This window comes from Homo sapiens, chromosome 4 (assembly GCF_000001405.40).
Source record: "Homo sapiens chromosome 4, GRCh38.p14 Primary Assembly".
Lineage (NCBI taxonomy): Eukaryota > Metazoa > Chordata > Mammalia > Primates > Hominidae > Homo > Homo sapiens.
The window spans coordinates 3,008,934-3,030,361 of record NC_000004.12 but is presented as its reverse complement, the minus strand read 5'-3'; the positions used below and the strand labels follow the sequence as shown (position 1 = coordinate 3,030,361).

General features: G+C 46.1%; 1 protein-coding gene across 29 annotated transcripts in view, besides 4 other annotated features; it reads right to left on the bottom strand.

Moving 5' to 3' along the window:
- GRK4 (G protein-coupled receptor kinase 4) overlaps nt 1-21,428 on the bottom strand; it is a 77,190-nt gene that overhangs the window by 10,399 nt on the left and 45,363 nt on the right. For 12 of the 29 annotated variants that reach the window (XR_924941.3, XM_011513447.3, XM_011513450.3 and 9 more), the window contains 7 exons: nt 20,651-20,714; nt 17,657-17,773; nt 16,534-16,674; nt 10,531-10,721; nt 7,911-7,948; nt 2,361-2,450; nt 953-1,161 (listed from right to left, as the gene is read on the bottom strand). Coding sequence is in view for 27 of the 29 variants with exons in the window: in XM_011513447.3 (XP_011511749.1) it covers nt 953-1,161; nt 2,361-2,450; nt 7,911-7,948; nt 10,531-10,721; nt 16,534-16,674; nt 17,657-17,773; nt 20,651-20,714 (850 nt within the window). In the remaining 2 variants the exon portion in view is untranslated. Of the gene's footprint in view, nt 1-952; nt 1,162-2,360; nt 2,451-7,910; nt 7,949-8,692; nt 8,863-10,530; nt 10,722-12,340; nt 12,634-16,533; nt 16,675-17,656; nt 17,774-20,650; nt 20,715-21,428 lie in introns of those variants that run through there. The other 17 variants (NM_182982.3, NM_001004057.2, XM_017008054.2 and 14 more) reach the window with 8 other exon arrangements.
- Nucleotides 8,638-9,138: an enhancer, noted in NCBI's record as "H3K4me1 hESC enhancer chr4:3022951-3023451 (GRCh37/hg19 assembly coordinates)". NCBI's record gives its function as "activates a minimal SCP1, AML or CMV promoter by ChIP-STARR-seq in naive H9 embryonic stem cells {active_cell/tissue: H9 hESC(naive)}" and the evidence as "EXISTENCE:reporter gene assay evidence [ECO:0000049][PMID:30033119]".
- Nucleotides 8,728-8,847: an enhancer, noted in NCBI's record as "active region_21207". NCBI's record gives its function as "activates an Ori minimal core promoter by ATAC-STARR-seq in GM12878 lymphoblastoid cells {active_cell/tissue: GM12878}" and the evidence as "EXISTENCE:reporter gene assay evidence [ECO:0000049][PMID:35858748]".
- Nucleotides 16,585-16,644: an enhancer, noted in NCBI's record as "active region_21206". NCBI's record gives its function as "activates an Ori minimal core promoter by ATAC-STARR-seq in GM12878 lymphoblastoid cells {active_cell/tissue: GM12878}" and the evidence as "EXISTENCE:reporter gene assay evidence [ECO:0000049][PMID:35858748]".
- Nucleotides 19,730-20,929: an enhancer, noted in NCBI's record as "BRD4-independent group 4 enhancer chr4:3011160-3012359 (GRCh37/hg19 assembly coordinates)". NCBI's record gives its function as "activates an origin of replication core promoter dependent on BRD2, P300/CBP, MED14 and CDK7 cofactors, and independent of BRD4, by STARR-seq in HCT116 cells {active_cell/tissue: HCT116}" and the evidence as "EXISTENCE:reporter gene assay evidence [ECO:0000049][PMID:35650434]".

The window sequence follows — 21,428 nt, the reverse complement described above, 5'->3', positions numbered from 1 at the left end:
GTGTCTGGGCAGTGAGGGGTGGTAACACAGTCCAGTCCCAGAGGCAGATGGACCCTGACAGCCACTGGCTCATTCTGGGACCAGGGACCAGGTCTCCACCGCTTGGGGCTCATCTCCTTGCTGTGACTCGCGGGTGCCACCGTCAGCCTCAGAGGCCCTTAGCACAGTTAAGGAATGGTCTGTCCAGCACCAGGCCCAGAGCCAGGCACACAGAAGGCCCTCAGGTCAGAGTGTCTCTGGGACTACAATCCCTGGCAGGTGGCTAAACCCTTACCCACCTCAAAATACATGAAAGATTGGTTTTATGTCTAACTTCATATAAAATTGGTCAATGAAACAAGGCTTGGCTATTTTCTGAAAACTGAATTAATAACCTTGGTACCACTCTTCCCTTTCAGTAGCATTATTTGAGAAATCAAACCATGAATTTTACTGTGTTTTGCTCCAATCAAAACCCAATTAAGTCATTTCCAGATCATGTCTGGAAACTTTTCTCACTGGCTCTTTTTGTCTGATGAAATCCCAGTGGCAGGAGCATGGGGAAGGAGGCAGGTAGACGTGAGCTTCCTAAGCAAACGTGTCCTCCCTGCTGGGCCAAGAGACAGGTTGACGTGAGCCTCCTGAGCACATGTGTCCTCCCTGCTGGGCCAGGAGGCAGGTGGACCTGAGCCTCCTGAACACGCGTGTCCTCCCTGCTGGGCCAGGAGACAGGTGGACCTGAGCCTCCTGAACACACGTGTCCTCCCTGCTGGGCCAAGACACAGGTGGACCCGAGCCTCCTGAACACGCGTGTCCTCCCTACTGGGCTGCAGGGGCAGGGGCAGGGCCTGGGAGGTGGGTGACCAGGACTTGCTGAAGATGACAGACCAATTTTTTTTGTTATAGCTGCCAGTGAAAACAACTAGAATGAGTGAGAAGTGCCATTTCCCAGCCTCTACAGAGCCTGACTTACCATCCTGCAGATAGATTTGGCATCCTCTGAAAACTTCTCAGAATACTCCTCGGTATCATTCTTGATTCTTTGATCGACCTCCTCCCATTTGACTTTCTCTTTGTATTTTTTGAATGGAGAATGTCCCTGAATCATTTCATAGATCAGACAGCCAAGTCCCCACCAATCGGGACTAAACGTATACTTTTCATTATTGACAACTTCAGGTGCTACATAACAAATACAGGAAATGGAAATTAAGTTAAATTTTGATTTTAAATTTTCTTATAATTCCCAGTAACACAGTATACATTCAACGTGTGTGACAACATGGACGAACCTTAAAAACATTATGTTAAGGCTGGGAGCGGTGGCTCACACCTATAATCCCAGCATTTTGGGAGGCGAAGGCAGGCAGATCACCTGAGATCAGGAGTTTGAGACCAGCCTGGACAACATGGTGAAACCCTGTCTCTACTAAAAATACAAAAATTAGCCAGGTATGGCGGCAGGCGCCTGTAGTTCCAGATACTCAGGAAGCTGAGGCAGGAGAATCGCTTGTGCCTGGGAGGTGGACGTTGCAGTGAGCCAAGATTGTGCCACTGCATTCTAGCCTGGGCGACTGAGTGAGACTCTGTCTCAAAAAAAAAAAAAAGTTGTGAAATTAGATGGTGGTGATGGTTGCATGACTCTGTGAAAATACTAAAATCCGTTGTATTACACACTTCAAACTGGTGGACTTGATGATATATGAATTATATCCCAATAAAGCTAATATTTTTAAACATTTGTATGATTCATCCAAGATGAGCTGAATTGCCACAGAGTCACATTCACAAGGGAAATGGTGGTCTAGGGAAGGCTCCACCTCCTGAAGGGGCTCCCTCCAGACACACAGAGCCATGCCCAGGGCGCCCCAAGTGTCACGTCTTGCCATCTATCCCAGGGCAGTGAAAAACCCCACAAGACGCAAGAGCGGAAAGCCACAAGACCTTGGGGTCTTCCTGCAGGACTCTGCGAGGCTCTCAGAGGCCACCCCTGGGGGTTGGCTGGCACTGCCCCCGGATCTTTGGAATAACCAGAGTGGGGTGATTTCCTGAGGCTCCGAGAGGCCGTGGTGCACAGGGGAGGACACTGGTAGAGTGAGGAGACCTGCGGTGTCATCCCGATTCTGCCCTCACTTCGCTGAGTGACCTCAGGACTCACAACCTCTCAGGCCTCACCCCTCATCTGTAAGAAGCTGAGGGCAGCCTACAGGATCCCCAGCAGCCTCAACACTCTGACAGGTTAGAGATTCAAAACACCACTGCGCCATCTACTAGTGTGTCCAAACCGAGGCCCCGGTCCATTCAGGGTGGATTTCTCTGTGTTCTGAGGCACTCAGGCACCCGGATAGAAAGGACAAGGACGCCGAAAGCCTCTCACGAACCCATGTAGCCGACTGTTCCAACTCTTCCTCGAACCCTCTGTCCTTCTGGGATCTCTGTGGCCAAACCGAGGTCTGAAATCCGGATGTGTCCTGTGTGTTCAAATATGTTATTACACAGGTCACGGGGGAAGTAATGACACCGTAACAACAATTAAAATGGGAAAAAAGGCCCCTCAAAAACCATGGCTGGAAATAATAGCATTTCATACTCTGGAACAGTAAACGTAAAATGGCATTTAACTTTTTCATGTTTAGTAAAATTCCATACAATGCATTTTCACTAGCAGCAGGAAAATTCGATTTTTGCCTGGCTATTGATCAGGAAGCCCTTTAATCATAGGCCACCACTTGATAAGACAGAAACACTGGATTTATTATTTTATGTCATACAACTTCCAGGTACATCAATAAAAATATAATGAATATTATATCAACTACAGAACAGTAAATAAATACTTTCTGTCAGAGTACCAGTACTATACACAGGGACAGCTACACATGAATGATATGGAGTTATTCTCTTGAGAACAAATGGTAATAGAGTCAGGGAAATAATAAACAAAATTAAGGTACTTAGGGAACTATATTATGTGTTAATGCGTTGAATATAGAAGGATTTAAATATTTGTTGAATTCCTATGGAACTAACAAATTAGGCCAGACACGGTGGTTCACACCTGTAATTCCAGCACTTTGGGAGGCCAAGGTCGGAGGATTACTTGAGTTCCACATTTTGAGACCAGCCTGGGAAACATGACAAGACCCTGTCTCTATAAAAAAAGATTTTTAAAAAAATTAGCTGGGTGTGATGGCACATGGCTATGGTCCCAGCTACTCTGGAGGCTGAGGCAGGAGGATCGCTTAAGCCCAGAAGGTCGAGGCTGCGGTGAACCATGATCACACCACTGCAGGGCAAGAGTGAGAATCTGTCTCAAAAAAATTATAAAGAAAATACGAAATTATCGAAAACATTCTGTTGAGTGTGTAGAAAGATTAGCCAGCCCTGGAAGCGGACACTATCTTCAACTTATTCACCACTTATCCTCAGCTTCTAATATCATACCCTGGCCTACAGTAGGTGCTCAATAAATATTTATTGGTGAAATGAATGAATAACCAATAAATGTTTGCTAAAAACTAAAAATATGCGACATGCCCTCCAAGGCACTGTAGTCATTTTAAAACAGTCTGCATGATGCTTTAGAGAGGAAAGCCGGCCTCTGACTCAGATGCATGCACGTGATACACCACACCCCGCCCTTGCTGCGCGCCCACCCTGGGAGGCGGGAGAGCACAGGGGTGAGGAGCACAGACCCAGCCCGATGGCGTGGGTCTGAGTCCTGGCTCTGCCATGTACTATCATGTCTCAGTTTCCTCCCCTTGTACAGATGCATTCTTTCAATAATCCACATTTCATTTTCTTTTCTTTTCTTTTGTAGAGACAGGGTTTGGTCATGTTGCCCAGGCTGGTCTTGAACTCCTGGGCTCAAGCGATCCTCCCACCCTGGCCTCCCAAAGTGCTGGGATTACAGGCGTGAGCCACCGTGCCTGGCCAGCTTTCGTGTATTTTTCATTTAAGTAGAGTGCTAACATGTTGTGACTTATTTTTTTCGTATCATTGTCTTATTTTTCTTATAAAAATGGATTTTTAAACTGAGAAATGCAACTTAAAACTACACTGAAATACCAATTCCCAGCTAACAAACTGACAAAAACTCCAAAGTTCGAGAACTCGGTCTGCTGGCGAGGCTGTGGGGAAACAGGTGCTCTCGTGCACTGCTGGTGGGAATGCAGACGGGAAACACCCTGGAGCGGAATCTGGCAATATCTGACAAATTGCGTATGAATTCACCCACTTCTAGGACTCTATCAAGGATACATTCAACGAAATAGGAAATTACATGTGCCCAAGGCTCTCCATCGCGGCACCAACGGAAACAGCACCGGTGGAGATGACACGCTTACCAGCGAGGGCTGCGCAAACAGGTCAGGTTCGCCTGCAGGAGGCACAGCAGACGGACGGAAGCCGTCCATGAGTGTTGCAGAGCCATCTCCACCGTATATTCAGTGAAATAGCCACGTGGAGGACAATACATGTGGTCTACTACTTTATTTAAGAAATGAGTGGGGAACAAATATATCTATACATATATAGTATGTAAATGAAGGAATGAAATATGAGTTAAAATAATTACTTGGGGATGGTCAGGGATGGAATCTAGACATCTTACGATACACTCTATTTTGCGGTGTTATCTTTGGAACCACATAAATGTTTTACATAATTATAACATTAAAAAATTAGATTGCTGGCCGGGCGCGGTGCTCAAGCCTGTAATCCCAGCACTTTGGGAGGCCGAGGCGGGCGGATCACAAGGTCAGGAGATCGAGACCATCCTGGCTAACACGGTGAAACCCCGTCTCTACTAAAAAAAATATAAAAAATTAGCCGGGCGTGGTGGCGGGCGCCTGTAGTCCCAGCTGCTTGGGAGGCTGAGGCAGGAGAATGGCATGAACCTGGGAGGCGGAGCTTACAGTGAGCCGAGATCACGCCACTGCACACCAGCCTGGGCGACAGAGCAAGACTCCGTCTCAAAAAAAAAAAAAAAAAAAATTAGATCGCTAAAAATTGAAAGCAAAATTAAGAAAATGAACCTAATGGTGTATCCAGCTGGTGGTTTAACCGCACAGAAGGGAATGATACTGAGTGACTTTTTTTTTTTTTTTTTTTGAGACAGAGTCTCACTCTGTCACCTAGGCTGGAGTGCAATGGCTTGATTTCAGCTCACTGCAACCTCCGCCTCCCAGGTTCAAGCGATTCTTCTGCCTCAGCCCCTCAAGTAGCTGGGACTACAGGCATGTATTACCACACCCAGCTAATTTTTGTATTTTTAGTAGAGACAGGGTTTCACCATGTTGGCCAGGCTGGTCTTGAACTCCTGACTTCAGGTGATCCACCTGCCTTGGCCTCCCAAAATATTGGGATTACAGGCAAGAGCCACTGTGCCCGGCCTCTGAGTGACTTTAAATTAATTTGAGTGAACAACCCTAGAACCAAAGAACTTTTGCTAATGACTAAAAGAACTGCAAAGAAATATTTTACTGGTTTTGTTGTTGTTGTTGTTGTTTGTTTGTTTGTTTTTTGAGACGGAGTCTCACTCTGTCGCCCAGGCTGGAGTGTAGTGGTGCAATCTCGGCTCACTGCAACCTCTGCCGCCCGGGTTCAAGCGATTCTCCTGCCTCGGCCTCCTGAGTAGCTGGGATTAGAGGTGCACTGCCACGCCCGGCTAATTTTTGTATTTTTAGTAGAGACAGGGTTTCACCATGTTGGCCAGGCTGGTCTCGAACTCTTGACCTCAAGTGATCCACCTGCCTCAGCCTCCCAAAGTACTAGGATTATAGGTACAAGCCCCACACCTGGCCTACAATTTTTTAAAATTAGCCAGATATGGTGGCTCATGCCTGTATTCCCAGCTACTCAGGAGGCTGAGGCAAGGCGGATCGCTACAGCCCTGGAGGTCAAAACTGCAGTGAGGCATAATTGCACCGTAACAACTAAAATATCCTTAATCGCTGCTGGATGTGGTGGTGCATGCCTGAAACTCCAGCTACGTGGGAGGCTGAGGCAGGAGGGTCGCTTAGGCCCAGGAGTTTCAGGTTGTAATTGTGCCACAATCGCACCTGTGAGTAGCTACTGCACCCAGCCTGGGTAGCATAGAGAGACCCTGACCTTAAAAAGAACTTTAAAAAAAGGAAAACTGTGGTCATCGGCATCAGAGGACTGTGGTCCCCAAGAGAAGAGACAGGGAACTGGCCCAGCAACCATCCTGGCATCCCACCCGGGAGTGCCTTTCAGATCGTGGCGCAGGAGGGGAACCTGGGCAGAGCAGGGGTCTTGCTAAGTTAGCCAGGCAGGAGTTAGCACTGGGGAAAGACAGCTCAGCTCAAACATGTGGGGTAAAGTTCTAAAGAAGAGAGAACTACACAGAAAAATCTCCTAAAAACACAGAAAAAGGTTATCAGTGTGCTCCCCTGCCTTGTTATCACTTCTAACCATTTCTCATGATTGTCCCTTTATGTTTCTTTATGTTTATGAGCAAGCACACTACACACAATTCCCTGCTTTGTTTACACAAAAGGGAGCACACTACACACACACTCTGCACCGTACCCTGTTCCGATCAACCACATAGCTTGGAGATTGCTCCACTTTGCATACAGAGCACGTTCTACCTACCCTTGTTAAGCCTTTTAACAACTCAGTAAGTGAGCAGCTTCGCTTAGTGCCCTCCCCACCCAAAGCCACCTCTGGTGAGCAGCACAGCACCAGGAATGAACCACAGGCTAAGTCAGGAGCTACGGACACAACCTTGGACAAGTCTGATTCCTAAATCTTGGTATCGCCTTCCATTAAATGAGAATTCCAGTACCCTCCTTCCTCACAGGGCAGGGTGTCATACATGAATTAGATAAGCATGAAAGCATCTGGCAGAGGCATAAAAGGAGACTAGCATTCCAAGTCCCCCACGACTGCCCTCAATCTCCGCCTTAGACGCCTGTCCTCTTCTCGGCAGGAGCCACTGACCTTGCCATGTGTGCTCTACTAGACTGTAAGACCCTTCTTTGCCAAGAAAACTCACTTGAAAGAAGCTCTCTCCCAGCACTGCTTGTGAGCTATGTGTGAGCACAACCACCCTCCCCAGCAGTGCAACCATCCTTGCATTCTGGGTATGACTCTCCCTTAGAGGAACCAAGGTGGAGTGTGCACCCATGCTGCAGACAAGGAGCCTGCTGAAAAGGGCCACTCCCTGTCCACTATTACAGGGTCTCCAAGCAGCCATCTGCACCCTGCTCTGTGACACATGCTATGTGACAAGAGGACAGCACCAGGGGCAACATGACAAAGTTTAGAGGGGAATGGAAATAAAAAAGAATAAAGCAAGAGGTGGGTCAACAGCAAGAAACAAGAGGGAGAAAACGTTCTGACTTTGTGTTTACTTTAATGTGCTTCTAGGTGGGGCACAGTGGCTTATGCCTGTAACCCTAGTGCTTTGGGAGGGAAGGCAGGAGGACTGCTTGAGGGCAGTAGTTTGAGAACAGCCTGGGCAACATAGCATGACCCCTATCTCTACAAAAAAAATTTAAAAATTAGCCAAGCATGGTGGCGCACAGCTGTAGTCCCAGCTATGCAGAAAGCTGAGATGGGAGGGTCATTTGAGCCCAGTAGTTCAAGGCTGCAGTGAGCTATGATTACACCACTGCACTCCAGCCTGGGCGACACAGCAAGACCCTGACTTAAAAAAAAAGGCTTCTAAAACTCAATCATTAATTGAAAATTATGACCATCTCTGCTTCTTGCCTAAACACAGGGGAATGACCAAATTGTCAGTATTTCATCTTTTTAAAATGAACACATACCACAGAGTTTTTCTTTTTGTTATTGTTTCCATTCTCTCCTAATCATTAAGTCCACTTTCTGCATCCAACTTTCTGTATCCAAGTCCCTCTAACAAAGTCTACCCATTAGATGTGAAAGGCTTGCCCACTTACCACGATCATCAAGGAGAATATTCTCAGGCTTCAAGTCTCTACAAGAAACAACAACAAAAGGCCCAATTATTCAGAAGTTGGCACTGTGATTCCTGAGTACCCAGTAGGAACAACCAGCGTGAGCAAGGGCTAGCGCGGCAAAACACGAAACTGCCCTTCATGAGCCACGGCAAACAGGCAGGACAAGAATGTTACAAAATTCATCTCAGCAAACAACTCACATGTGACGACAGTGTAAAATGAACTTCTTTGCATAGTTATACAGATTTGAAGACATTTCAGTGATTAAATATGCAGCCCAGTAGGAAGGAAAGCAAACAGTCCTTAATGAACGTGGCACAATTTCTCTTACCATTAACATATTTTTAAGTGTTTCAAAAACTGAAAATTCCCCATATTAGAATGCCTCAAGCTGGGTGCAGTGGTGTGTACCTGTAGTCCCAGCTACTCAGGGGGCTGAGGTGGGAATGTCACTGGGACCATCGGTCATTCATTCAACAAATGCTTAGTGATACCTACTGATGGTGAGTCCCGTGGACACAGCGGTGGATGGGGCAGACATGGTGCAGCCCCCACTGAGTGCAGGCGGGTGAGGCAAGTGGGTACCGGAGGTTAGAGGATGAGCCAAAGCTCACATGAGAAAATCCAGCTCATCTTGAGACTGAAACCAAACACAGCGGCTCAGCCGTAGTCACCTGTGAAGTGTGATTTACTCCAGGAGTAACAAAAGAATCAAATCTCCTATGGGTGTGTTCCATGGTCCAATACCACCAGACTCTTACCTCTAAGCAATGGCAACAAGGCTTCCTCAACTCAGGCGACCACCTCTGTGTCTAGAGGACTCATAGCCAGGGCAGCAATCCACCCCTTGCTCAATGCTCAAGGTGCGGAGGTGTCAGCCCCACTGCCAAGCCTGGTCTCTGGTCCTTAAGAGATATTTATCCCATATTGGCTGTGGGATATATAAGATAAGGAGAAGCCAAAGGTCCATCAGAATAGGAAGAAATGAGATCAAGGACTCCCAAGAAGCTCATCGTCTGACGTGACCATCTGAGCAGACAACACGGGGAGCAGTTGGAGGATGTGGGGGAGGGGCACATCCTCATGCTCACACCCTCGTGCTGTGTGGGCCAACTCTGGGCGGATGAGCAGGAGTCTCTCAGAATGACAGGAAGAGGGGCTGGGTGGAGAGTGGCACCCACACAGGAACACCTTGTGCAAAGGTACAATGAAGTGAGGACACCTGAGCAGCTAAAACCCTCGCATGATGAGGGCAGGGGGTGTGGGAGCAGCAGGACCCAAGGCTGGAGGGCTCTGTGGGGAGCTGCATCACAAAGGCCACGAGGGCCAGGCTTACAAGGTGACAAGGGAGACACCATCAGGTCCCACAGCAGGCCCCTTTCCCTTGGATATCAAAATCCAAGGGTCCTCAAGTCCCTGATATAAAATGGTGCAAAATTTCCATATAACCTACACACATCCTCCCAATTACTTTAAATCACCTCTAGATTACACATACTACCGGACACAATGTAAATGATAAGTAAATCATAATTGTACTATATTGTTTAGGGAATAGTGACAAGAACAAAGTCTACATGTTCAATACAGACGCAAGCATCCTTTTTTTTCTGAATATTTTCTCTTTTTTTTCCCCCTTTCATCCTGTTGAGCAGGATTTTCTGAATATTTTCGATTCACAGCTCTTTGAATCTACAACATGGAACCCATGGATATGGGGGACCGACTATAACTGGCAGATGAACCCACAGAAGGGAGGAAATGAAATTACCCAGGGAGAGTGACTGAGAAGAGACTCAGAGCCCAGGAACTCCAGCATTTAAGGGACAGGAGGGGGAATTGTTTTTTCCTAAAACTAAATACATTGATTACACTAAACTATGAAGTTTAATTTAATTTTCTTTACTAAATTCTAAGATGCAAAAAAGAAACTACTATTTCAAGACATTAAATTGTTATGTTATATGGCAGGACATAATAGATCCTTATCAGAACTATCAACATACCTAAGAACCTTGGAAATGGGCTCTTCTTATGCTTACATGAGTAGCACCACCTTTATTTGATCAACTTAACCAGTAAAAAACAAACTTCTGCTTCAAAAAGACAATTTATTAGAGATTTAGGCTGGGCACGGTGGCTCACACCTGTAATCCCAGCACTTTTGGAGGCTGAGGCCCGTGGATCACCTGAGGTCAGGAGATCGAGACCAGCCTGGCCAACATGGTGAGACCCCCATCTCTAGTAAAAATACAAAAAATTAGCTGGGCATGGTGGCGGGTGCCTGTAGTCCCAGCTACTTGGGAGTCTGAGGCAGGAGAATCACTCGAACTGCAGTGAGCCGAGATTGTGCCATTGCACTCCAGCCTAGGTGACAGAGTGAGACTCCATCTCAAACACAAAACAAAAAAACACCCAGGGCCCTCTGACTGGCCATATTTCCAATAGTGTAAGTGACCAACCCTAAGAATCACCATCGAGGGCCTCCCAGCTATTCTCCTGCCCATCCTGGAAGCAGCCAGTGTGAACCAGGGAAGCCTAGGGCTGGGAGAAACCGGCTCCAAGACTTGCAGGCTCCATTAGGTAGCACCGTTCTTACCTGTATACAATTCTTTCCCTCTGTAAATCTTCCAAGCCGCAACACAGCTCTGCAGCATAGAAAACGGCTCTCTGCTCATCAAAGCCGGGATTGCCCAGGTTGTAAATGTGAAACTTCAAATCCCCTCCATTCATAATGGTGAGCACCAAGCACAAGGCATCTTTGGTTTCATAAGCGTAGGCTAAACTAACCTAAAGACAGCAACATCATAAAAACAGAACACGAACTTGCTCTTTCATTGGTGATTTCCTCTATTTGCTAATAATATGCAAATAATCTGTGTTAGGTTTACAATCAGAACATGTGAATACTATATGTTTCAGAGAAATGTACAGGACATATCACGTGCCTCTTGGACCTTGGCATGCTGAAGATTTTACCGCAGCTGTGTAGCCAAAAGAGAGAACTTTCTACAGCTAAGCGAAGAAGTGGCGAAACTTCACCAAGATACTTGGGATCATGACTCCTCTGTGTTGTGCTCTCATCACTTGAGCCCTGACATTCTGTACTTCCCGGGCAACCGCATTCAGCACATAAGCTATGCCCCACCAGCAGTGCAAGAGAGGTCTTACTGTGCCACATCCTTCCAACATTTTGTGCTGTCAATCTTTTTAGTTTGAATAATGCTGGTGGAGTAGTCTCTTACTGCGGTCTTAATTTGCATTTCTCTATATATGCAAAGATAGGGGACCCTTTCATATAATTAATAGCCATTTGGATCCTCTTTTGTGAAATGCCTAGTCTATTTTCCCCCCATTTTTCTATTGGTTTGTATGTCAGTTCACACACACACACATACACACACACCCTGCTGGGATTCTGATTGGGGCTGCATTCAATTCATTTAATCTACAGATCAATTAGGGAAAACCAGCATCTTTACAGCATCGGGTCTTCCAATCTGGGAACATGGTCTCCCCCTATTTATTTAGACCTTCTTTCTTTATTTTTTTGAGACACAGTCTTGCTCTGTCGCCCAGGCTGGAGTGCAGTGGCACCATCTCGGCTCACTGCAACCTCTGTCTCCCAGGTTTCAAGCGATTCTCCTGCCTCAGCCTCCCGAGTAGCTGGGATTATAGGCACCTGTCACCACGCCCGGCTAATTTTTGTATTTATAGTAGAGATGAGGTTTCACCATGTTGGCCAGGCTGATCTCAAACTCCTGACCTCAAGTGATCCACCTGCCTCGGCCTCCCAAAGTGCTGGGATCACGGGCGTGAACCACAGTGCCCAGCCTCCTTCTTTAATTTCTTATAATAACATTTTACAGTTCTCAGTGTAGAAGTCTTGCACATTTTTGTCAGTTCTTTGCCTAGAGTTATTTTTTAAGAGACAGGGTCTTGCTATGTTGCCCAGGCTGGACTCAAACTCCTGGGCTCAACTGATCCTCCCATCTCAGTCACCCAAGAAGCTGGGACTACAGGTGCACACCACCTCACCGGGTCTTTTCTTAGATTTTGATGTTTCTTGATGCCATTGTAAATGGTATCAGTAACATTTCCATTTTCTAATTGTTAGTGGCTGATTCACATTTAATCACTTGGTTAAATCCTTAATAGGTTATCTAAAAATCTGGGAATGTCTCCACATACAATGATGTTGTTCGAAAATAATGAGTTGTGGCCGGGCACAGTGGTTCATACCTATAATCCCAGCAGTTTGGGAGGCCTAGGTAGGAGGATCACTTGATCCCTGGAGTTCCAGACCAGCATGGGCAATATAGTGAGACCCCCATCTCTATCTAAAAAAAAAAAAAAGAAAAAGAAAAAGAAAAAGAAAATGATGAGGGCTTTTTTTTAACCTTTTTTCTTCTTTTCTCTAACCTTAATCCCTTTCACTTTTTCCTTTACCTTACTGCACTGGCCAGAATTTCCAATATCATGTTGAATTGAAATGGTCAGCAGGTATCTAGCCTCATTCCAGATCTCACGGGGAAAAGCTTTTAATATTTTCATATTAAGTATGATTGTGTTAGAGATTTTCTGAAGGAAGTTCCTTTCTGTACCTGGTTTGCTTCGAGTTTTTAAGCATGACTGGGCATTAGCTTCTATCAAAAGCTCTTCCTGCAGCTGTTGAGATGACCATATGGTTCTTCCCTTTATTCTGGTAACGTGATAAATTACATTATTTGATTTTCATTCCTGGAATAAATCCAACTTGGTCATGATGTATTAAAACAGTAACAGAGGTGCTGAGAATGGAGGAGAGGAGGCCCCAGCCGGCATGCAACAGACCACAGAATTAAACCACAAGGAATTCTCACTGGCCCTTGAATTAGTAAGGATCCCTTACTTTCTCTCCTCTTGTGAATATTCATTCAACATCTGCTTAATATATATTAAAATTATATTGAGAATCTTTTATCACGCCAGCCTTGTTGTGGGCAGCTGGGATGCAGTGGTGAGCATGGCCCTGAGGAGCTCTGTCCTAATATCGTGGTGGAGGAGGCCTGGGCAGTTACAGATGACAGATGAACCAATGCAAAGAAACCATCCAACAGAGTGATGGGCGACTCACAGACTGCCTATGGGGAGGGAGACCAAGGGCAAGAGGGAAAGGCAGTGATGCTTCAGGCAGAGTGCAGTCAGACCCCAGGCCTGATGTGGCAGAGGCTGCAGGAGCCAGGTCCCTCAGTGCCTGAAAGGCCAGAGCTGAGTCTAATTTTATTCTCAGAGTGGCAGGTGGCCACTGGAGTTTTTAATCAGGAAAGTGGATGACTAATTTAACTTGTCCACAGACTGCCTTGCACTGCTCCGTGGAGAACAGACTGTGAGGGGCGAGGGTGCAGGCAGGGGCAGAGGGCTCCAGGGAGAGGCATTACTGCCATGGGTCAGGGCGCAGCAGGGATGAACATGCCACTGTAAGCAGGGGGTAAACACCATCACAGAAGGAGAAAAATGTCTCTAGGTTAAGCAGGGAGAAAACACCATAGGGAAGGAGAAAAATGTCTCTAGGTTCCTTGGGAGAGGCCAACGATATAGAAATCAAAGCATTTAAGCAAAAGAAACTGTAACAACTGTTTCTGTTCTTTTCATAAAGCTAGATTGTGGATTTCTATGTTCCAAGGTAGTTACACGGGGGTTTTTTTTGTTTTGTTTTTTTGTATTTTTTTTTTTGTTTTGCTTTGTTTTTGAGATGGGATCTCACTCTGTCACCCAGGCTGGAGTGCAGTGGGCAATAATGGCTCACTGCAGCCCTGACCACCTGGGTTCAAGCAATCCTCCCACCACAGCCTTCTGAGTAGCTGGGACTACAGTCACACACCACCATGCCTGGCTAATTTTTTTTTTTTTTTTTTTGGAGATTGAGTCTCACTCTGTCACCCAGGCTGGAGTACACAGGCTGGAGTACAATGGCGCAATCTGGGCTCACTGCAACCTCCGTCTTCTGAGTTCAAGCAATTCTCCTGTCTCAGCCACCCAAGTAGCTTGGATTACAGGTGCTCGCCACCACACACCCAGCTAATTTTTGTATTTTATTAGAGACAGGGTTTCACCATGTTGGCCAGGCTGGTCTCGAACTCCTGACCTCAGGTGATCTGCAGGCCTTGGCCTCCCAAAGTGCTGGGATTACAGGGCGTGAGCCACAGTGCCTGGCCTTTTAAAAAAAATTTTTTTTGTAGAGGCCAGGCTTGGTGGCTCACACCTGTAATCCCCAGCATTCTGGGAGGCCAAGGTGGGTAGATCACAAGGTCAGGAGTTTGAGACCAGCCTGGCCAACAAAGTGAAACCCTGTCGCTACTAATAATACAAAAAATTAGCTGGGTGTGGTGGTGGGCACCTGTAAAACCAGCTACTCGGGAGGCTGAGGCAGGAGAATCACTTGAGCCCGGGAGCCGGATGTTGCAGTGAGCCAAGATCGCGCCACTGCACTCCAGCCCGGGAGACAGTGCGAGACTCTGTATCAAAAAAAAAAAAAATAGGGTGATGGGGGTCTCCCTATGTTGCCCAGGCTGGTTTCAAACTCCTGGGCTCAAGTGATCCTCCCACCTTGGCCTCCCAAAGTGCTGAAATGACAGGCATGAGCCACCAAGCCCAGCCAAAAAATATGTTTAAAGCAACTCCCAGATAAGCCCATTTTATTACAGATTTTCAAGTAATTGCACATGAGAGTGACATATCATATACACACACTGTGCTATTTTTTTTTTTTTTTTTGAGATGGAGTCTTGCTCTGTTGCCCAGGCTGGAGTGCAGTGGCGTGATCTTGGCTCACTGCAAGCTCCGCCTCCGGGGTTCACGCCATTCTCCTGCCTCAGCCTCCTGAGTAGCTGGGACTACAGGCGCCTGCCACCACGCCTGGCTAATTCTTTGTATTTTTAGTAGAGATGGGGTTTCACTGTGTTAGCCAGGAGGGTCTCGATCTCCTGACGCCTGCCTCGGCCTCCCAAAGTGCTGGGATTACAGGCGTGAGCCACCGCGCCCGGCCCCACACTGTGCTATTAAATTCAGATGCTGGCTGTGAAGGTACACTGGGAACATTTGTCCCCCTGCACAAAGCAGCTAACCTCCGGGCTAAGAAATAAATGGCTTGGAGGAAATAGCTCTAACACTACAAATCATTTTATAAATTCTCGTTCACACTCTCCCTTCAACCAGTCTTCATACTTCAGTAGCTGCTACAGGACATATGTAATTAGGTAGAGAGAAACTGGGTTTGGAGATGAGAACCACACTATACAATGCACACCGTAAAGCCTGGAACTGCTCCCCTGAGCTCATACCAGTCCGCCCAATGTTCTGTCCTTTCCAGAAAGGTGGGAAGGTGGTATTTGGGCTTCATACAATTGGGATATGCTAGTTGAGGGCCTAGCGGTAAACTTCCCAGAAAAAGGAAAAGACGGAAAGCAGATTGAGGCCAGAGGGAGGAGGCCCACATGAGAAGGGGGCTAGAGAAGGTATCCTCAGCCAGACGTGGTAGCTCACACCTGTAATCCCAACACTTTGGGAAGCTGAGGCAGGTGGATCACTTGAGCCCAGGAGTTCAAGACCAGCCTGAGCAACATAGGGAGATCTCATCTCTCTCTCTTTTTTTTGAAACGGAGTCTCGCTCTGTTGCCCAGGCTGGAGTGCGGTGGTGCAATCTCAGCTCACTGCAACCTCCGCCTCCCAGGTTCAAGTGATTCTCCTGCACCAGCATCCCAAGTAGCTGGGACTACAGGCACGCGCCACCAGGCCCACCTAATTCTTTTTGTATTTTTAGTAGAGACGGGATTTCACCATGTTGGTCAGGCTGGTCTCGAACTCCTGACCTCAGGTGATCCACCCTCCTTGGCCTCCCTAAGTGGTGGGATTACAGGTGTGAGCCACCGCGCCTGGCCAGAGATCTCATCTCTAAAAAATAAGAATAAAAATAAAAAAATTAAAACCTAGTTGGGCATGGTGGTGTGTGCCTGTGGTCCCAGCTGCTTGGGAGGCTGAGGTAGGAGGATCACTTGGGCCTGGAAGGTTGAGGCTGCAGTGACCCAAGATCGTGCCATTGCGCTCCAGCCTGGACAACAGAGCGAAACCCTGTGTCAAAAAAAAAAAAAAAAAAGAGAGAGAGAGAGAGAAGGTATCCTCAAGCACAGCCAAGTCACAGTGTCCCAGGGGCCAGAGAAATTGACTGGAGGCTGAGAGCAAACAGAGATAAGCTCTGGCTGGCTGTGATAAGGGAAAGGAAAGGGCAATTCACCAAGAAACACGGGTAACTAATGGACCTGGAGCCTCTGCAAGCTGGCAGGTGTGAAGAGTGACAGAATGGGAGGCGGGGGACTACAGATTTATAACAAACCAGAAGTTAGAAGCAGTATCACTCCTTCTATGTTTTCTAAGGTTTGAATAAGAAAGAAGAGAGCTGTTACTAAAAACAAAACTGTTACTAAAAAGAGCAAACCCCCACATAAACTCAGAAAACAAGAAATGACTTCCACGGCTTCAGTGAGCGTGAGCTGAGCGGCATGTCGGCTGACAAAAGTGCTATGAATCAAACAATGCACAGTGAAGACTAAGAGGAGACACTTACTACGAATCTACTTTGCACTTTCTCCAGAATTCTTTTCTCATTTAGAGCCATAGCTTCACCTTTCCTCTTCTTTATTCTTTTTTTTTGTAGCTTTTTGCAGGCATACATTTTTCCTGTGGCTCGCACTTGACAGGCGCAAACCTAGTTTAAACAGCAAAATAAAGGAGGTTTATGTCCACCTGGCATTTCTTAGGCCACACAAAGGAAGCTCTTTGCTTGATGAGACCCTCACTGGCAGAGACCAGCAGCAGTGCATGAGGAGCCGAGACCGTTTCAAAGGTGAGCTTCGTCAGTGTGAGTCGGCTCCTCCCTCAGTGATGCACTGTACTCTATCAACTCTAAGACAGTGTACAAATGGAACTAGTTGGCATAGGTGATCACGGTAAATGTTTAATTTTTAAATGTCCCCATATGTGTATTTTACTTTTTGTAAAAGTGCAAAAGTTTTAAAAAGTAAAACTGAAAAGATTCTTTTTCAGCTGGGCATGGTGGCTCATGCCTACAATCCCAGCACTTTGGGAGGCCAAGGCAGGCAGATCACCTGAGGTCAGGAGCTCGAAACCAACCTGGCCAACATGGCGACACCCCGTCTCTACGAAAAATAAAAAAACAAAAAAATTAACTAGGCATGGTGGCGGGTGCCTGTAGCCCCAGCTACTCCAGAGGCTGAGGCAGGAGAATCGCTTAAACCCGGGAGGCAGAGGTTGTAGTAAGCCGAGATCGCGCCACTGCACTCCAGCCTGGGCGACAGAGTGAGACTCCGTCTCAAGATTCTCCTGCCTCAGCCTCCCAAGTAGCTGGGATTACAGGTGCCCGCCACCATGCCTGGCTAATTTTTCTTGTATTTTTAGTAAAGACGGGATTTCACCATTTTGGCCAGGCTGGTCTTGAACTCCTGACCTCAGGTGATCTGCCCACTTTGGCCTTCCAAAGCGCTAGGATTAACAGGTGTGAGCCACCGCGCCTGGCCTAAAAAGATTCTTGATTTTTTAATTTAAAATGTCAAGAGTATAAGGAAATATATTTCATAGAATTCACAATTTTCATATCTTTATTCTATTACTTCTTAAAGTAGTATTTATGTATTATTTTAACTTTATGTCATGAAAAATTTCCAACATACAAAAGTGGAAAAAATAGTATCATGAGCCTCAGGTTCTGGTCCCCGTGCCTCTGTGTCATCAACATTAGGCTGCTGTTTCTTCCAACTCCCATCCACTGCACACCCCACAGGGGACTGCTTTAAAAGCAAACATAAGACATGATTTAATTTTATCTATCAATAAAATAATTTTGGTGGTAAAAGAAATACAAAGTTAATTGTGGAAAATATTGGAAGTAATAAGGACAGTGATAAAAACTCACCCGTAATTCCAAGATAATGACTGTTAATATTTTGCTCTATTTGATTTTGGGCCCACCTTCTTACATGGGTATGCAAGAATACATACCCTGTTCCCACCACTCCAGCCTTTCATGGCAAAACTGGTCTCGTATTGTAAAATAGGTAATATTTCCTAACCTCCTTTTAAAAAATCTTATTGTGTGACTATTTTCCTATCGTGAAATGTTTTCCTAAAATGTGACTATCCCAATATGTATTTAATCATTTTCTTACCATTAAGACTTGGCATAAAAATCTCTTCATATCTCTTTATCGTTAATTTAAAACAAATTATTCTAAGTGGAATGGGCAAATCAGAGAAAGGGAATGGAAAGCAGACAAGAGTGCCAGGCACTGTGCTGAGAGCTGGGTGTGAACACTCGCTGGCTCACAGCAGCCTGGCGGGCAGGGCCGATTATTTCCCTGCTAGAGATGAGATCACGATGGCGGGCCCAAGATCACGCTGCTGGAAGTGATACGACAGGACCCTGACCTCGGGTCTGCCCACGTCTGAAGTACGTGCTCTTTCCACTACAGTCTGTGGCCTAAAACCATGACAGCAGAGATGTCTACTCAATTCCTTTACCATTGTGCTCACTCAGGACCCTACAAATTCATTTCGGAGGACTTCAAGCATAAGCGAAAGAATTACTGTTGACAAAATAAAACCAACTAGGTTTGCTCTCTCAAGCCCACTGGAGGAAGTGCTAGCACTTGGAAAAAGCAAATGCACGATTAGAATCTGGATTAAAGGGCACCGAGGCTGTCCCCGCATGAGGGCAAGCAGGGCTCCTTCTGACAGGCATTCAGAGTAGGGGTGAGCTGACTGCTCACTGCCTCTGGGCCTTGACTGAGAGTACAACACCTCCAGAGCAAGTCTGTGGGAAACTGCCATGCTTTATTCGTGCAGCCAATCATTTGTTTGGGAACCCAAGTAAATCTGTTAAAAAGTAATCTATACAATCATAATTATACTGAGTCTTTCTTATCTTCTTTTTTAATGTATTTATTTATATTAAATATTTAAATAGAGATGGGGTCTTGCCATGTTGCCTAGGCTGATCTGGAACTTCTGGGCTCAAGCGATCTGCCTACCTTGGCCTCCCGAAGTGCTAGGATTACAGGCGTGAGCCACCGCGCCCAGCACCAGGTCTTTCACAATAGCTAAAATTTGCTAACATGTCCCTATTATATCCTATTAAGACTGACATGTTTTAAAAACTTACATGTGGCTATAATTAGACTTTCATTCCTTTGTAAACACATGACCCATGTTCCAGAAATTTTTCCTCTGTTCTTTCACAAAATCTGAGTCATTACATTTGCAGATCATTAAAGGCAGATTAGCAAGAGTCCAAGTAAGAAAATGACTTTCCTGTTCTAGGACATATTCAAACAGAGGGTGGATTTCTTACAGAAATATCTATCATGGAGGGATTAGAGCAAGCATACGATTGGATTAGGCAAAATATTCTTCATGGTCTCTGGAACTGTACCAGAGGGACAGTACTGTTACTTCTCCTGAAGTAACAACTACGTTGGCCAATTTCTTGTCATGTCAAGCTGCAGGTGCATAACAGATATAGGTGCAGTGTGCTGCCTCCTAGGTCAGCTTTCTAATTAACTTCAAGGCAATGCTAGTGGCTTTTCCTTTGAATTGTAATATGGGAGCAGTAATATCTGAGTCACACCCGGGCAGTGTAACCTGCTCCTGAGTTAAACATACAGTATTAGTTTGCCAATGGCTTGCCTGGCTCTTAGGGACTTAAAAGTTCTTGAACTCCATATGATCACTCCAGGTAACTAGTAAGGTAATTAATATCTCTTTAAATCCCCAGACCAGAACTGCTGCTGTTCTCCATCCACCAACTACAGTGGTCTCCATCTAGGAGACCCATCATATTTAAACAACACCCCGGGCCAGGCACGGTGGCTCACGCCTGTAATCCCAGCACTTTGGGAGGCTGAGGAGGGCGGATCACCCGAGGTCGGGAGTTCAAGACCACCCTGACCAACATGGAGAAACCCCCTCTCTACTAAAAATACGAAAATTAGCTAGGTGTGGTGGCGCATGCCTGTAATACCAGCTACTCGGGAGGCTGAGGCAGGAGAATCGCTTGAACTCAGGAGGCGGAGGTTGTGGTGAGCTGAGATCACGCCATTGCACTCCAGTCTAGGCAACAAGAGCGAAACTCCATCTCAAAACAAAACAAAACAAAACAAAACAAAAAAAACACCCCTCGTGAGTCTGTGAGTCATTTCCTTAGGATTTTCCCAAATTGACACATTTCCAAACACCTTTTGATGTAGGTATGAGGTACATACGTGTCCAAACAGAGTAGGGTTACGTAAGTATATTTACTAATTCACTCTGTACTATGTGAATTTGGGACCAGTCTTAAATGTATGGAAATAGAATCATGGAAATTCCACAATGCGGAAACAGAATCGTCTTTCCATCTGGGCAAAGTGACTGAGCTGGGGCATCAAGCATGGAAACCAGCTTCTTCAGAACTATGAGGTAAAAGGTGAAGTCACCAAGAGAAGGGATTCTTAAAAACCTTTTGCTCAAAATTCCATGTGGATTCTCACAGTTGGCAAAGATTATTCCCAAAACACCCACTAAGGCAACAGTGTACTGGGAGAGCTGATGCATTACCTGAAGCCATGTTCTCAGGACCTTGCTCCCCACCCAGCTAGCAGCGCTGCTATGAACTGGCTCCCGTTACTCACCTCTCCAAATCCGCCTTTTCCTAGAACTCTGTAATGTCTAAATGTGTTCTTTGTTACGGGTTGCCTAATCAATGAGAAAAACAAGTTTCAGGTCTCACATTGCATTGTTCTTTTAAAAAAGAAAAGTTTACTCAGCGCTTGTCTTCGCCTCATTTATTGAACCATTCTGCTCAAAGGGGATGCCCGGGACAAAGGGTGTCTGTGCTCAGGGACTGTGGCTCCCTCTAGCAGGATAGCTCTTGACTTGCTCTAAGAGCAATTAATTCATCTTTTTTTTTTTTTTTTTTTTTGAGATGGAGTCTCACTCTGTCGCCAGGGCTGGAGTGCAGTGGCACGATCTAGGCTCACTGCAACCTCCGCCTCCTGGATTGAGGCAATTTTCCTGCCTCAGCCTCCCGAGTAGCTGGGATTACAGGCGCCTGCCACTATACCCAGCTAATTTTTTGTATTTTTAGTAGAGACGGGTTTTCACCATGTTTACCAGGCTGGTCTCGAACTCCTGACCTCATGATTCACCCGCCTCAGCCTCCCAAAGTGCTGGGATTATAGGCGTGAGCCACCACCCGGCCAATTAATCTTAATTAATATTTAAGACACTGAAGCAAAAGGCAGAACAGTCTAATTATCCTCACTAACTAAAGATAGGTCTGAAACCAGCCAACACTAGGAAATATGTATGTTCATAACTCCTGGTATACTCTTGGGTAGATCCCTCTCAACCTGTCAGAAAGCAGGTGAAGAAGATGACGTATATACGTTGTGCCATCCTTTGAAAAAA